This window comes from Homo sapiens, chromosome 1 (genome assembly GCF_000001405.40).
Source record: "Homo sapiens chromosome 1, GRCh38.p14 Primary Assembly".
Taxonomy (NCBI): domain Eukaryota; kingdom Metazoa; phylum Chordata; class Mammalia; order Primates; family Hominidae; genus Homo; species Homo sapiens.
The window spans coordinates 111,859,666-111,873,043 of record NC_000001.11 but is presented as its reverse complement, the minus strand read 5'-3'; the positions used below and the strand labels follow the sequence as shown (position 1 = coordinate 111,873,043).

At 44.3% G+C, this 13,378-nt stretch overlaps 1 protein-coding gene across 7 annotated transcripts in view, besides 1 other annotated feature; it reads left to right on the top strand.

The window, feature by feature from the left end:
• KCND3 (potassium voltage-gated channel subfamily D member 3) overlaps positions 1-13,378 on the top strand; it is a 219,007-nt gene that overhangs the window by 116,625 nt on the left and 89,004 nt on the right. The gene's annotated exons all lie outside the window — the stretch shown is intronic.
• Positions 7,870-8,070: a silencer, noted in NCBI's record as "peak363 fragment used in MPRA reporter construct". NCBI's record gives its function as "represses an SCP1 promoter by STARR-seq MPRAs in K562 erythroleukemia cells {active_cell/tissue: K562}" and the evidence as "EXISTENCE:reporter gene assay evidence [ECO:0000049][PMID:32103011]".

The window sequence follows — 13,378 nt, the reverse complement described above, 5'->3', positions numbered from 1 at the left end:
TCTGGGAAGCCCAGACATAGCTTCAAGTCAAAGGATCAGAGGCAAAAATAAAATCCAGGTTGCAAAACCAAGAGCTGAAGTTGAGAAGAGACAGCATCAGAGTGAGAGCAATGCCTAACATTGTACCTGGCCCAGAGTGAGTGTCCATCCTGGAGTTGTTGAATGAATGAGGAATGCTCCCTAAAGCCACGGAGACATCTGCCTTTGTAAAACTGATGAGTGTTCTCACTGGGTACATGGGAGTGGACAGGCCAACTTAAAGGGCCTGAAGTGGAATTGATCATAATTTTCTCTCTCACGGCCTCTTTTTCAGGAATCCCGGCTCCAACCTCTATAAATGTGTTGTTCATTTATTGTCTGGCACTAAGATTCCTTGTTTCCCATTTTCTCTGTCACTTTCTTTAGCCCACCCTAAAATTTTGCTCTCCTTCCATAAAAAAACACTCTTTCTCCCCAAAAAAGACGCAGTAGTATCCCTTCAGCCTCCTCATGTATCTGATCCTAATGCTTCTGTCCATGACTTTATGAGAGCCTTCTATACCAGCATTTCCCAAAGTGTGCCTTGTAGAACATTGTTCCATAGAATGTTAATGATAAAAAGGTTCACAGGTCAAATAAATTTAGAAAACATTGGATTTAACAAAATTAAACAAGGTTCTTCAGTGTAGGGCTTCTCTGTCTTTAAAGATACTAATAATGTGCATTCCTAGAAGGGAAATGCCAAATTTACTTAACCTCAGAGCACTTTTCTGTGGTGCTTCTGCTTCTTGCAGGACTAAGGGTCTGTGGAGCACACCTTGGAAATCTACGGTCTTGTCTTTTCTTTGGTGCCCCATCCTCTGTCCTCTTACCTGTAAAGTGGGGATAATAATAGTGCCCACCTTAAAGGGTTATTGTGAAGATCAAATGAATTAGTACATGTGAAGTGTTTACAATGTGTCTTGCACTTAGTAAGCATCACATATAAGGTTTTATTTTTAGTATCTTTGTTATTATTATTTCTGGCTCTTTTTAATCTACCTTTGGCCTTCGCTGCTCCACGGAACTTGCTCTTGACGGTACTGACCATTTCTCAGGCCCCAAATCCAGTGGCCTTTCCTTGCTCCTGATCTCCTTGGCCCCTGCAGCATTTGATGCTCAGTTCTCCCCACTTCCTAACACTTTACCCTTCTTTCCTTGGACCTCTCTTCACCTGCTCTCTCCTCCTGCTGTCTTCCTGCCATTCTGGTCATTACTCCTTTTGTTCCTCCTTTCCTCCACCTTATAAATTTAGGTTTTATCCAAGGATCATCCTTGACTCTTTTTTGCTCTTTCTCAACACTCTCCTTTGGAAACCATATCCAATTTCAAAGCTTCATCTGCCAACCTTGATGAAGGCAGGTGGTACCCAAATTAACTTCCTATCCCTAACTTCTCTCCTTAACTCCATACTGTCCTGCTTTTCTATCTTTGTGTCTCCACCTTCATTCCTTACAATCCATTAAACTCAATGTGTCCAGTGAGTTTATAGCTTTACCCCTTTAACTTTGTTCTTCCTTTCATGCTCCCTATTTCTCTTAGTGACACCGTTGTCCTTCCTGTCACACAAGCTGACTCCTCCTTGCCTCTCTCTAGGACCTACCAATTGTGTTACCAGCTGGCTCTGAACTCCATTTCCTTGTCTGTGTTTTCTCTGCCTCATCCATGATTCACTCCTTCATCATTCCTTCATTGCCTTGATAATCATAATGGCTTCTTAACCTGACGTTCCTACCACAGTTCATTTCCCACTGTGCTTCTAGAATACTCTAAAAAAATCATTATTTCATATCCTGCTTGAAAACATTCAGTTACTCTCTACTTACAGAACCAAGTTGCAACTCAAGGCCATTCACAGTATAGTCTCAGCTATCTTTCTCATCTCACCTCCCATTCCTTCTCTTCACAAACCCTTCACCACAACCCTCTGATATCTCAATGTGCCTCACATATGCCCCCATTCCTCCACATTTCAATTGCTGCTTTCTCCATGCAGTCACAGAGTTGATCCAGCTAGAGCCCGCCCTTTCCTCTTCAGATCTCTCACTGCACATGCAGATAAGTATGTCTCTTTGTGACATCCCCCTATGTGTGGATGTTATATTCCCGTTATATCCCTACTGTTATATCCCTACTAGGGGGATGTTATATTCCTTCAGGACAGGATCTATGTCTGACTCTGTCTGTCTTCCATCCCACATATGCTTTGCACAGGATAGTACCTCAATAGATGTTTGTTAGATTGAATGGATGGATAGGTGATTGGATGGAGGTACCTCTTTCTTCTTTTTGTGTCTTTTTTTTCTTTCACTGAGTGCAATCCCATGTACCATCTTCAACAAGAGACCCTGTAGCATCATATTTATTGGCTTATATGGCTGCTACTCCAGATCTTGGACTTGATGCTCCCTCTGCACAGATCAAAGCTCTCTTAACAAGGCACCCTAGCTGATAGCTCTCCAAGCAGTGCCCTCCTTGGATCCCTGATGCTCTTATCTTCAAAATGGCACTGGCATCAGCTGACCCTCTAATTGAAGCCATAAGCCTTTGTTATTCCCAGTAATTTCCTTCAGTGTCAAAGTGATCATCTGTCCTCTTAGTTCAAGCTAAGTCTCCGTCTGTGACACAGTGACTCTGATGTCCAGCATCAGAATGAGAAGTCCCCACCTCCCTTCCTTCTGCACTGCAATTGCCCCCTAATGCCTGCTATTAGCAAAGCCTGATAGAAAGCCAGTTATCAAGGCAATCCACAGAGTTCCAGCTCAGAAGAGAGAATTTAGTTGGAGCTGTGGCAGTAGGCAAGTAACTGGCACCATCATTTGCTGGGTCTGTAAGCTTGGGCAAGTTGCTTATCTTCTCTGTGCTTCAGTTTTTTCATCTTTAAAATAGGAGTAACAATTATGCTTACTTCATAGGGCCATTGTGAGGCTTAAATGATACAAGCAAGTGCTTGATAAATTTTACCTATTATTAGTCTGCCAGTATGTGTCTCAATTAATCTCTGCTTCCCATTCCACTCCCTCAAAAAACACACATACTACAGTTGTCCTTGATATTTATTTGATACAAACACTTTATTTCAGCATGTGACATGTGTGTCTGTACGTGTGTGTGTGTGTGTTCATTCTTTTGGAAAACAGCTTCACACACACAGAGTACGGACTTTACCAGGTATGAATCCCAAACCTGGATCCACCACTTACTGGCTGCATGTTAATCTTCACAGTAAAGACCCGTGGTCTTCTGGGAAATTGTAAAAGTTTATTTGTGAGCAGTTAATTTAGTGTCTTTACAAATCCCTTCCTCATCTGTGAAAGCAGGCTAATAATACTCCTTGCAGTGTTATTAAATGAGGTGATACACATGGAACTGACTAGCACAGGGTCTGGCAATGAGAGAACATAGTGCATGTTCTCTGTGTTGGTCTCAATTCTCTCTTCCTTCCCAACTGAGCACATTGGGCAATGGGTGGCTTGGAGCTTTGAATACCCTGTGACTGTCCCTATTTATTGTCCAGTTAGGCCAATCCCTGGAAGAATATGTGGGCCAGTATATGCAATGTGGCCATAACCCCAACTCATTCAAGATCCCATAGTGGCACTGGGGATGGAAGAAGGTGAAGTGATGCTGTGACAGAAAGAGCTCAGGCTGATGGACAAATTTGGATGAAGGTGAGGAGGAAGCTCATATCTAGGATTCCTGGGGGGTCCTAGAGGTGGCAGGAGGAGCCTCTAGGAGCTCTGTTTCTGTCTGATAATTCTGACAGCTTGTATAGCCCTGTCTCATGAGCTCATTTTTTAAAAAGTCTGAAATCGATAAAGCAAACTTTTTGAGAGGAAACATTATAATAAGGAGAAGGAAAGGGAGAAAGAAGCATTCTGATTTTAGCCAAGTACTGCTGGTACTTGACTTCCTGCAGTGAGAGGGCCCGTGGGCAGGATGGGCAGCGTGTGGAAGGAAGTATGGTGTGGAGCTTAAGGGGACAGGCCTTGGAGTCAAGGAATCCCAGGCTCAAATCCTGACTCATCACTTACTATTTGTATGACTCTGGGATGAAACCAGTTACGTTAGCCTAGGCAACATAGTGAGACCCCATCTCTACCAAAAATAAAAAGTTAACTGGATGTGGTGGCACATGCCTGTAATCCGGCTACTCGGGAGACAGAGAAGGCTAAGATGGGAGGATCACGTGAGCCCAGGAGTTCAAGGTTGCAGTGAGCCATGATTTTGCCACTGCACTCCAGCCTGGGTGACAAAGCAAGGCCCTGTCTCAAAAAAAAGAAACAGTTAAATTCCCAGGCCTCGGTCTCTTCAATTATAAAATAGAAATGATAATTCAAAGTGTTATTATGGAGTTTAGATAAAATCTATGCATGAAGCAGTATAACAAAATGTTGGCATATAGTAAATGCTTAATAAATGGTAGCTATTATTATAGTCAGCTGCTTACAAAAATATGGTAGTCCCCCCCATGCCCATGGGGGATACATTCCAAGACCCCCAGAGGCCACCTGAGACCACGGGTAGTACTGAGCCCTACATATACTATGATTTTCCTATGCATACATACCTATGATAAATTTTAATTTATAAACTAGGCACTGTACTCTTGTGTTTTGGGTGTTTTGGGGCCTTTATTAAGTAAAATAAGAGTTACCTAAACACGAGCACTGGGAAATGCAGCAGTTATCTGATAACCAGATGGCTGCTAAATGACTAACTGGCAGGTAGCGTGGACAGCGGATGTGCTGGAGGAAGGTTCTCATCCCGGGCAGGTTGGAGCCAGACAGCATGAGCAGGACAGCATGAGGTTTCATCACACCACTCAGAGCAGCCCACGACTTAAAACTTATGAATTGTCTATTTCTGGATTTTTGTCATTTAATATTTTCAGACCATGGTTGACCACAAGTAACTGAAACTGCAGATAAGTGGGGACTACTGTAATAGCAACCACTTATTATGTTTAGTTTGCCAGGCACTCTGCTAAGTGCTTTATGGGCCTCTTTCATTGAAATCTTCTAACAGCCTAATGAGGTAGATGTTAGGATTATTCCCATCTGACCAATGAGGCTCTGTGGCTTAGAGCGACTTCCTCCATGTCACCTTGTTTGTGTATGTAAGACCAGAATTGGAAACCAGGTCTGTCTGCCCCCATAGCCTGTGCTCTTACCTATGAAGACACTATGTCTTATACATTGCTAGGATTTTCACTGTGCTCAGAAGGGTTTCTTCCAAGTTCCTTCCAAATAATCAAAAATTCTACTCTTCACCTCTATCAAGGTGCCTGCCATGCTTTCCTTGGAAAATCTGTAGAGTTTTTAAAGCTTCTCCCTCTTAGATGTGCATACTACCCTAGGAGAGAGGGAAGAAGACTCATAAATCAACACTTTAGCAAGAACTGCTCCCCAGTGTGACCAAAAGAGCTCCTGTTGAGAGCACAGACCCCAGCCTTCCAACACCCCACTGCATGGAAATACAGGTGTTCCCATAGGGAAAGGGATGCTCTAAAAGCATCCTAAGGCGGGTTTCCCTTCCAAAGTCAGCCTCACCTTGGTTATAACCCAGGATTGGGGTGCTCTGCATATTCAGAAAATATCTAAAACATGTTGATTATAGAAATCAATCCAAGAGAGATTCCTGTTTTCAGTAAATCCTGATGCAAGCCCTTCAGCTTCTAAAGGGGCTATGTTTAGTTCTATTTGCATCCACAAACACACATTGAGCACCTACCTGATGCCAGGCATCAGGCATGCCAAGGTACCTAATAGGCCTCAACTCACTGGGTTTTCTACCCTAGGATGTGCCTAGAAAATGACGGGCAAGAGCTTATATGGTGGGACCATCAATTAAGGGCTTACTGTGGGGTGGGCATTGTTCTAAGCACATTTTACTGGTATCAACTCATTAGCGACTACTGCTGTCTCCTTTCTACAGATGAAGGAACAGAGGCCCAGAGAAGTTAGGTAACTTATCCAAGATCACACAGGTGACTAACTGGCAGAGCGAGGACTTAAAAGCAATAAAAAATATTTTTATTAGCCTACATAGGATTTTTTCATGATGTGCATTTAAAAGATCACAGTGCCCTTCAAATGGCTTCCTTGGGAAGCTGCATATTTAATCCAATGGTGCTGGCACTGGTGATTAGTTGTAGAATATCCCTCTAGAAATTGCCATTAGACCTGATTTAGAAATCAAAGAGGAAAGTCAGCTTTAATACATTAGAGTCATACTTTGTTTTGTTTTGTTTTTCTCAGAGTTGGGGGTCTCACTATGTTGCCCAAGTTGGTCTCAAACTCCTGACCTCAAGCGATCCTACTGCCTCAGCCTCCTGAGTAACCAGGACTACAGGTCACACCTCGTTTGTGACCCAAAATAACACTACTCAGCTTCTCAGCCGTGTGTGTGTGTGTGTGTGTGTGTGTGTGTGTGTGTGTGTGTGTTTAAAGAAACAAACAGGTCAGGCACAGTGGCTCATGCCTATAATCCCAGCAATTTGGGAGGCCAAGGCAGGTAGATTGCTTGGGCTCAGGGATTCAAGACCAGCATGGGCAACATGGCAAAACTCTGTCTCTACAAAAAATACAAAAATTGACTGGGCATGGTGGCGCACTCCTATGGTCCCAGCTACTCAGAAGGCTGAGGTGGGAGGTTGGCTTGAGCCTGGGAGGTCGAGGTTGGAGTGAACCTAGATCGCCCCACTGCGCTCCATCCAGCCTGCACAACAGAGCCAGACCTTGTCAAAAAAAAAAAAAAAAAGAAAAGAAAAGAAAGAAAGAAAGAAGAAAAGAAGGAAAGAAAAAAAGAAAGAGAGAAAGAAAGAAAATCAATGAAACAAACCTAGAAAAATAAAATGGTATTCATTCAATTTTGCTACAAACCTAAAACTGCTCTTAAAAAATAATCTACTAAAAAAATTAGAACTAAAAAATAAAATAGTGAAAAATATTTTATTTAAAAATTAATCTGCGCCCCCAAAAAGAAAAATTTTTTCAATTGAAAACATAAATGTGTTTGGGCCAGGCATGGTGGCTCACACCTGTAATCCCAGCACTTTGGGAAGCCAAGGTGGGCAGATCACTTGAGCCCAGGAGTTTAAGACCAGCCTAGGCAACATGGTGAAACCCCATCTCTACAAAAAAATACAAAAATTAGCTGGGCATGATGGTGCATACCTGTAGTCTCAGCTACTCAGAAGGCTGAGGCAGGTGGATCAGTTGAATCCAGGACGTAGAGGCTGCAGGGAGCCATGATCACACCACTGCACTCCAGCCTGGACAACAGAGTAAGACCTTGTCACAAAAATTAATAAATAAAACATAAATGTCTTTAAGGAAACCCCAAAAAAAGGATTCCAGAGCTGTTTTGAACAATAGCAATATAACTGGAATGGGTTGGAGTTGCTAGAATCTCTACTATGAAGGATCCTCTTTCAGAGACATTATTTCTATGTCTTTTGAAGATAATAATTTATAGAAACACAAAAAACTTCCCAGGACCCTGACCCCTGTTAGCACATACGGGCCATATTCTGGTGGGACATGTCCCTGACAAGATCCACTGTGATGAGTGCTGGCTCACTCCCTGTGTAGCCCTGACCTCTTTGGGAATCATTTAAATGTAACCAGCAACCAGCTCTCTCCCCTTATCCCTGCCTTTCTGTGAAGGTCCTCAAAAAGTAAAATACTGTATCAGTACCTACCCCCTACTGTAGTTTGGCTTCAATAGCCGAAGGCAAGACCTGTGGCCGTTCTGTGAATTCTTGTGTTAGGAAGTTATTGTGTGATTAAATAAGACTATGTGTGAAAGCAAGTAGCAGTATATCTGGCATACAGTGGCTACTCAATAACTATTAATAATAAGGAACTAGGTGAATATAACAGCTTAAAGTCACAGCATGGTTCACCCACCTCTACCTGATAGTGGGGCCTTAGCATTCAGCACCATGGCCAAGGACACTTTCAGACCAAGATGAAGATTGGGTTGCCGAATGTCTGGCTGTTCCTCGAACATGCCTGCTGCCCACCCCCACCACCCTGTGTCTGTTTCCTGTTTCCTGTGTCTTGCTTGTGCCTCTCTCGTATGTGAGCATTCTCTCTGTTGCTCTCTGACCATATTTGTCTCCTTCTATGCCTTTCTCTCCCTTCCCTTCCCCCCAACCCTAACGTATACACACAAACATGCACACTACTGTCTTACTCCTTGGGAAATCTCTGTTCTTTCCTTCTGCTCTGCCCATCTATGAGGCCAAGGCTGGGGACTGAAGTGAGGCCATCTGAAGGGCATAGTTTGGGAAGCTGCTTGACCTTGCTGAGTCAGGAGTTCCTCCTGAGATGCCTTCTGTGGTCCCAGGAACTGTCCTTAGTGGAGCAAAAGTGCAGCAGCAGCAAGGGATGATTGGGGTCTGGAGCAGATGAGGACAGCTAGGCAAATATTTTCAAGCTACATGAAAGAAAGCCTGCATGCAAGGACATCCTTTGTTTGCTCATCTGTGTTAATGGCACTACAGCCCTTAAGAAGCCAGATAACTAGAACTCAGCATAATTATCAAGAATTACATTTTACTGAAATACAAAAAAAGAGAGAGTGAGCGAGAAATGAATGAATTTGCAAGTTGTTCACAGCAAAGTAAGTTCTTACTGAAGGGAAATTCTTACCTGAGATTTCCCCTGGGACCCTCCCCTAGAGCTGAATGTTGAGGCTGCCCCACCAACAGCAATCTTGGGAGTACCCTCCACTGTTCCCACAAAGTTGGCTCTTGGGGCCTGATGAATGTGCTATTTCCCAGCTCTTATCAGTGAGTGCCATGTGGGACTGAGAGAAGAATATGTGTCCTTCTTCTCTTCTTCCCCATCCTGCCTTCCACACGCCCACCCCTCCACCACATCTAGCCCCACACCAGCCACCCTCAACATGACCAAAATGGAAATTGTGATCATTATGTAAACCCCTGCTCCTCCTCCTCTGCTCCCCATATCAAAGCTGCCCCCATTTATCTCATCATCCAAGGCAAGCTCCAAGTCAGCCCAGATTCCATTCTTTCCTTCCCACCTCACTCCTCATTTCAATCATCATCAAGTCTAGCCTCCCCACTTCCTCAGTATCTCTTAGACCAGTCTCCCATTTTTTATTCCCACTGCTACTTTTTAGTTAACCCCCCTCATCATTTCTCCCCTGGATTACTCAGTTGTCTTTCAGCTGGTCTCCCTGCATCCTGCTGCATTCACCTTCTAGTCCAGCCTCCGTTTTTAAATTTCTAAAACACAATTTAATTATGTTGCTATCCTGCTTAAAACCCTTTAAGTGCCTCCCCATTGTATGCAGGATCAAGTTCAAACTCTTCATCATGAGCCACCAGAGCCTCCCTAAGTCCCCTGTGACCTCTGCCTCTCCTACTTCATTGCCCCTCTGATTGCCCTTGCAACTCTGCCAGAGCAAATCGGTGGCTGTTTTCAAAAGCACAATGTTATTGAATGCCTCTGTGTGTTTGCATGTGATGTTACTTCTTGGAATACCTTTTCTCCCTTGTCGTCCCAGAAGACTCCCATTCATTCTTCAAGATTCAGATTAAGTGTCTCTTCCTTGCTGAGGGCTTCCTGCTTCTCATAACTTTCCTTTGCAACCCCACCTTAAAGATTGATTTAAATTTTCATCTCTATCATCGAGAACATAAGCTGTTTTTTTTTTTTTACTGTTTCCTAGACAAATAGGTTAGTCAATGTCTGGCACATAGTTGGTGAAAAAGAAATATGATGAAAGAATGAACTTTTAATTAGTCAGTCTGGGTGACCTTGAACATGTCACACAACCTTTCTGAGACTTAATTTCTTTGTCTAAAGATGAGGATAGTAATGCCTGCCTTGCAGGTTTGTTGCATAGATTTAATGAAACAAAATATGTAAGGCACCTAGCCCTGCCCAGCCCATTGTAACAATTCAATAAATGTATTTTCCTTGTCTTTTCTCTTTCTTCTTCTTGTTGCTATCATTAGTCCGCTTTCTATTCTAATCAAAATGGGCAGAGGCAAAAAGAGAAACCTCAAATGTCCAGTGCCAAGGTGCCTAGATGGGAACGGTCACGTATTGCCCATCTGGTAGGGACAAAGTGTCCTCACACCTCCACCTCTTACATCACCCAAGATCAACCAGCCCCTGGTCAGGATTTAGTGAAGGTTAACTAAGGTCTGGCAACAGATAGGTGTGCAGACTGATCACATGCCAGACACTGTTCCAAATGCTTTACCTATAATAGCTGATTCAGTTTCAAAACAACCCTGTGAGAGTAAATTGTTATTGTCCCTACTCTACAGAGAAGGGAACTGAGGTAAGGGAGGTTAAGGTCATCCAACTAGTAACTGGTAGAGTAAGGATTAAATCCAAACAATATTGCATCAGAGCCTATACTTTGAACTCCTACACGGTTCTTTCCTACACTGATTAAAGGGTATTGTGAGAACTAATGGCCACAGATCCACAAGAGAGCAGATCCCTTGCTTTCTTAGACTTGACGATATAATTTACAGACTCACCATATTAGAATTAAGGGTATACTCCAGTGGCCCCATTGCATAGTTTACAGTTTTTCATTGCAAAACTTATTTTTTAGTGAAAGGGTTGGGGGCATTAGCATTCGGCCCATGGCCATTCACTTTGTTTTTGTAAAGTTCTATTGAAACATGGCTATGCCCATTTATTTTTGAATTGTCTGTTGTTGCCCTTGCAGTACAGTGGCAGAGTTAAGTAGTTGTGACAGAGGCCTATGGCCTGCAAGCCTGAAATATTTACTATTTGGTCCTTTTTGGAAAAAGTTTGCCAACCCCTTCAGCTAATACTGTACTTTCAGCCAATGCCCTCTTGTCAAAGCAGGCTAAGAAAATCTCAATGACCCCAGATATCTGTCTGGGCAGAGTCTCTAGGGGCTGCTCCCTCCCCAGCCAGCGCCCTGCACTATAAAAGCCCTCGTTCCTACAGGCCATAAGGAAATGCATCATCTCCTTTAGGGAGTCTGTTTAGCCCAGGGTAGGAGCAGGCAGCTGCAGTTTGTGAGGCAGTAGCTCTGTGGATGATGTGGGGTTGGATTCCTTCTACTTATTTGGGGGTCCCTCGCATAACTCAGACCACAGGAGCCCAAATAAAGTGGCTGAGCAGTGCAGTCAAGACAAATTTCCTGACCCCACAGAGGCTGCTGGAGGCGGTCCGCTGATAGATGGCATAAGGAAGAATTTCTCAGTTGCCATCTAATCTGTGCCTGGGAAATAAATTGCTCTTGTCACTGGTGTCTGCCCTGGCCCTGCAGGCCCCTCTTCCCTGCAGAGCCCTCCCTGCACCTCCACCCCTGCTCTGCCAGGCTGGGAATGCTGCCTCAGGGAGTGGGGAAGGAGAGGAATAAGGAGATAGGAGAGGGTGACATGTTCTCTTCCACTGCCGGTGGGCCCCCTCCTGCCACCCGCTTCCCTCCGTAAACACAGGAACAAGGTCCTGCAGTGGGCCTGGGACAAGTCTTATGACCCCAGTTTTCTTATCTACAAAATGAAAAGCCTTTTAAAGTGATTTCAAAAACCTTGCCATTCTAAGTTCCTGAGACTGGGCTGGGGGAGGGAAAGGAAAGGGATTTGCACAGTTGAAGTTTAGAAGGATCCCTAAATCTACACATAAAGTACCTCTATGTGCCTCAATCTCTCAGCCTGAAGTTAGAGCACATCTTGGTTGGAACCCAGGGTGTAAACTCAGGTTATTATGGGTCATCGAGGGACCCTTGCCTGGACAGGGCCTCTCCTGGGAAACTTTCCCTTTCTCTAAAGGAAGCCCCTACCCCATTGTTATCTACGCCATCTACCTCTTTCCCCACGCCCCGCCCCCCTTCCTCCTTTCTGCCCTTTTGGTTTTCAAAAGGCAACCTCAACTAGTCACCACCTGAGAACTGGTGAGTTGACCCCATGAAGCCCTTTGGAAATGGGAGATGGTGAGAGGAGCTCTGCCAGACCCCATGAAGCCCTTTGGAAATGGGAGATGGTGAGAGGGGCTCTGCCAGACAGCTCCTGTTTGAAAGGGGACTTCCCTTGGGACACACAGGAGGACTTCCTTGCTGGGAGCTAAGTGTTTACTGAGGTGTCCTATCAATAATCCAGTAAGACAGGGACAGATGCTGGCTAAGACTTGGGCTCAAAGCTTTTTCTCTCTGGATGGAAGAACCCACATTAGCTGACATCCAACATCTGGTCAACCCGGGAGGACTAAATGGAGGAGGCAGTGTTTTAGTAGCCACCTGAATGAGAGAGGAGAGCTCACTTGTCATGGGCAAGGACAGAACAGGGGTCACCTCCCTGCTGAGGCAGACATAATCGCAGGCTCATCCTGGGAACTAAACTGGAACTGTCACTATGATTTCACAGTTGCAGCTCAAGGATAGATAGGGCTGAGAGGGAGCTTGGAAGTGTGGGTCATGCATTAGCAGCATGGATAGAACTAAATCCCAAGTTGGGGGGGTGGGGGACTGAGAAGCTGTAACCATGCTCCAAATTCCTCTCCCTCTCCTGAACACCTCTTCCCCAGGGGCCTGGATGCACAATGTTGGTCTTCTATCCTAGACAGAGCTGTCAGCAACCCAGTTTTTGTTAGCCACCTAACAAGTATCAATCAAGCACCTAAGCTGTTAGAAGCAAGTCAAACAGATCTGAGGACAGATCCCAGCTTCTGCGTTTATTAGTTGTGTGGCCTTGGTTAAACTGCTTATTCTCTCTGAGCCGTATTTCCTTATCTGCTAAATGAGATTAACAATAGCTACTTCTTAGGGGTTTTGTGTGGCTTAAATGAGATAACGTGTGCAACTTACCTTTTAGAGCACTGGCACTAAGTACATGCTCAGTAAACTAATTTATCTACCGAATATTTTGAAGTGCCTGCCGTAACTATTGTTGGTAGTATCTAAGACGGTGAAACTTGTGTCAACTTCAGCTGTAGCTATATCAGAATAGCACCAATGAAGTTATGACCTCAGGATCGTTCCTGATTGTCTTTAGGGCCATTTCCTGCAGCATGCAGAAGATTCCTTCCCAAAAAGCGTTAAAGGTCAGGGAAAGGCTCTCTCACACCTCCCGCCACCCTGGCATCATCAGTAGGGTGCAGGAGACAGGGTCTCCAAACCCTCATCTCATCAAATACTACCCACCTCCTTGGGCTATTGTGAGGAATAAATGACTTTATGCATGTAAAGAACTTAGGACAGTGGTTGCCATATGATACAAGCTTGATCGATATTCATTTTTGTTGTTTTAATAGGGCTCAGCTTTCATGGAAACAAATGGCATGTGGAGGGAGGATCATCCATCTCTCCATTTCCACTGAGGAGTGAAGTTGTA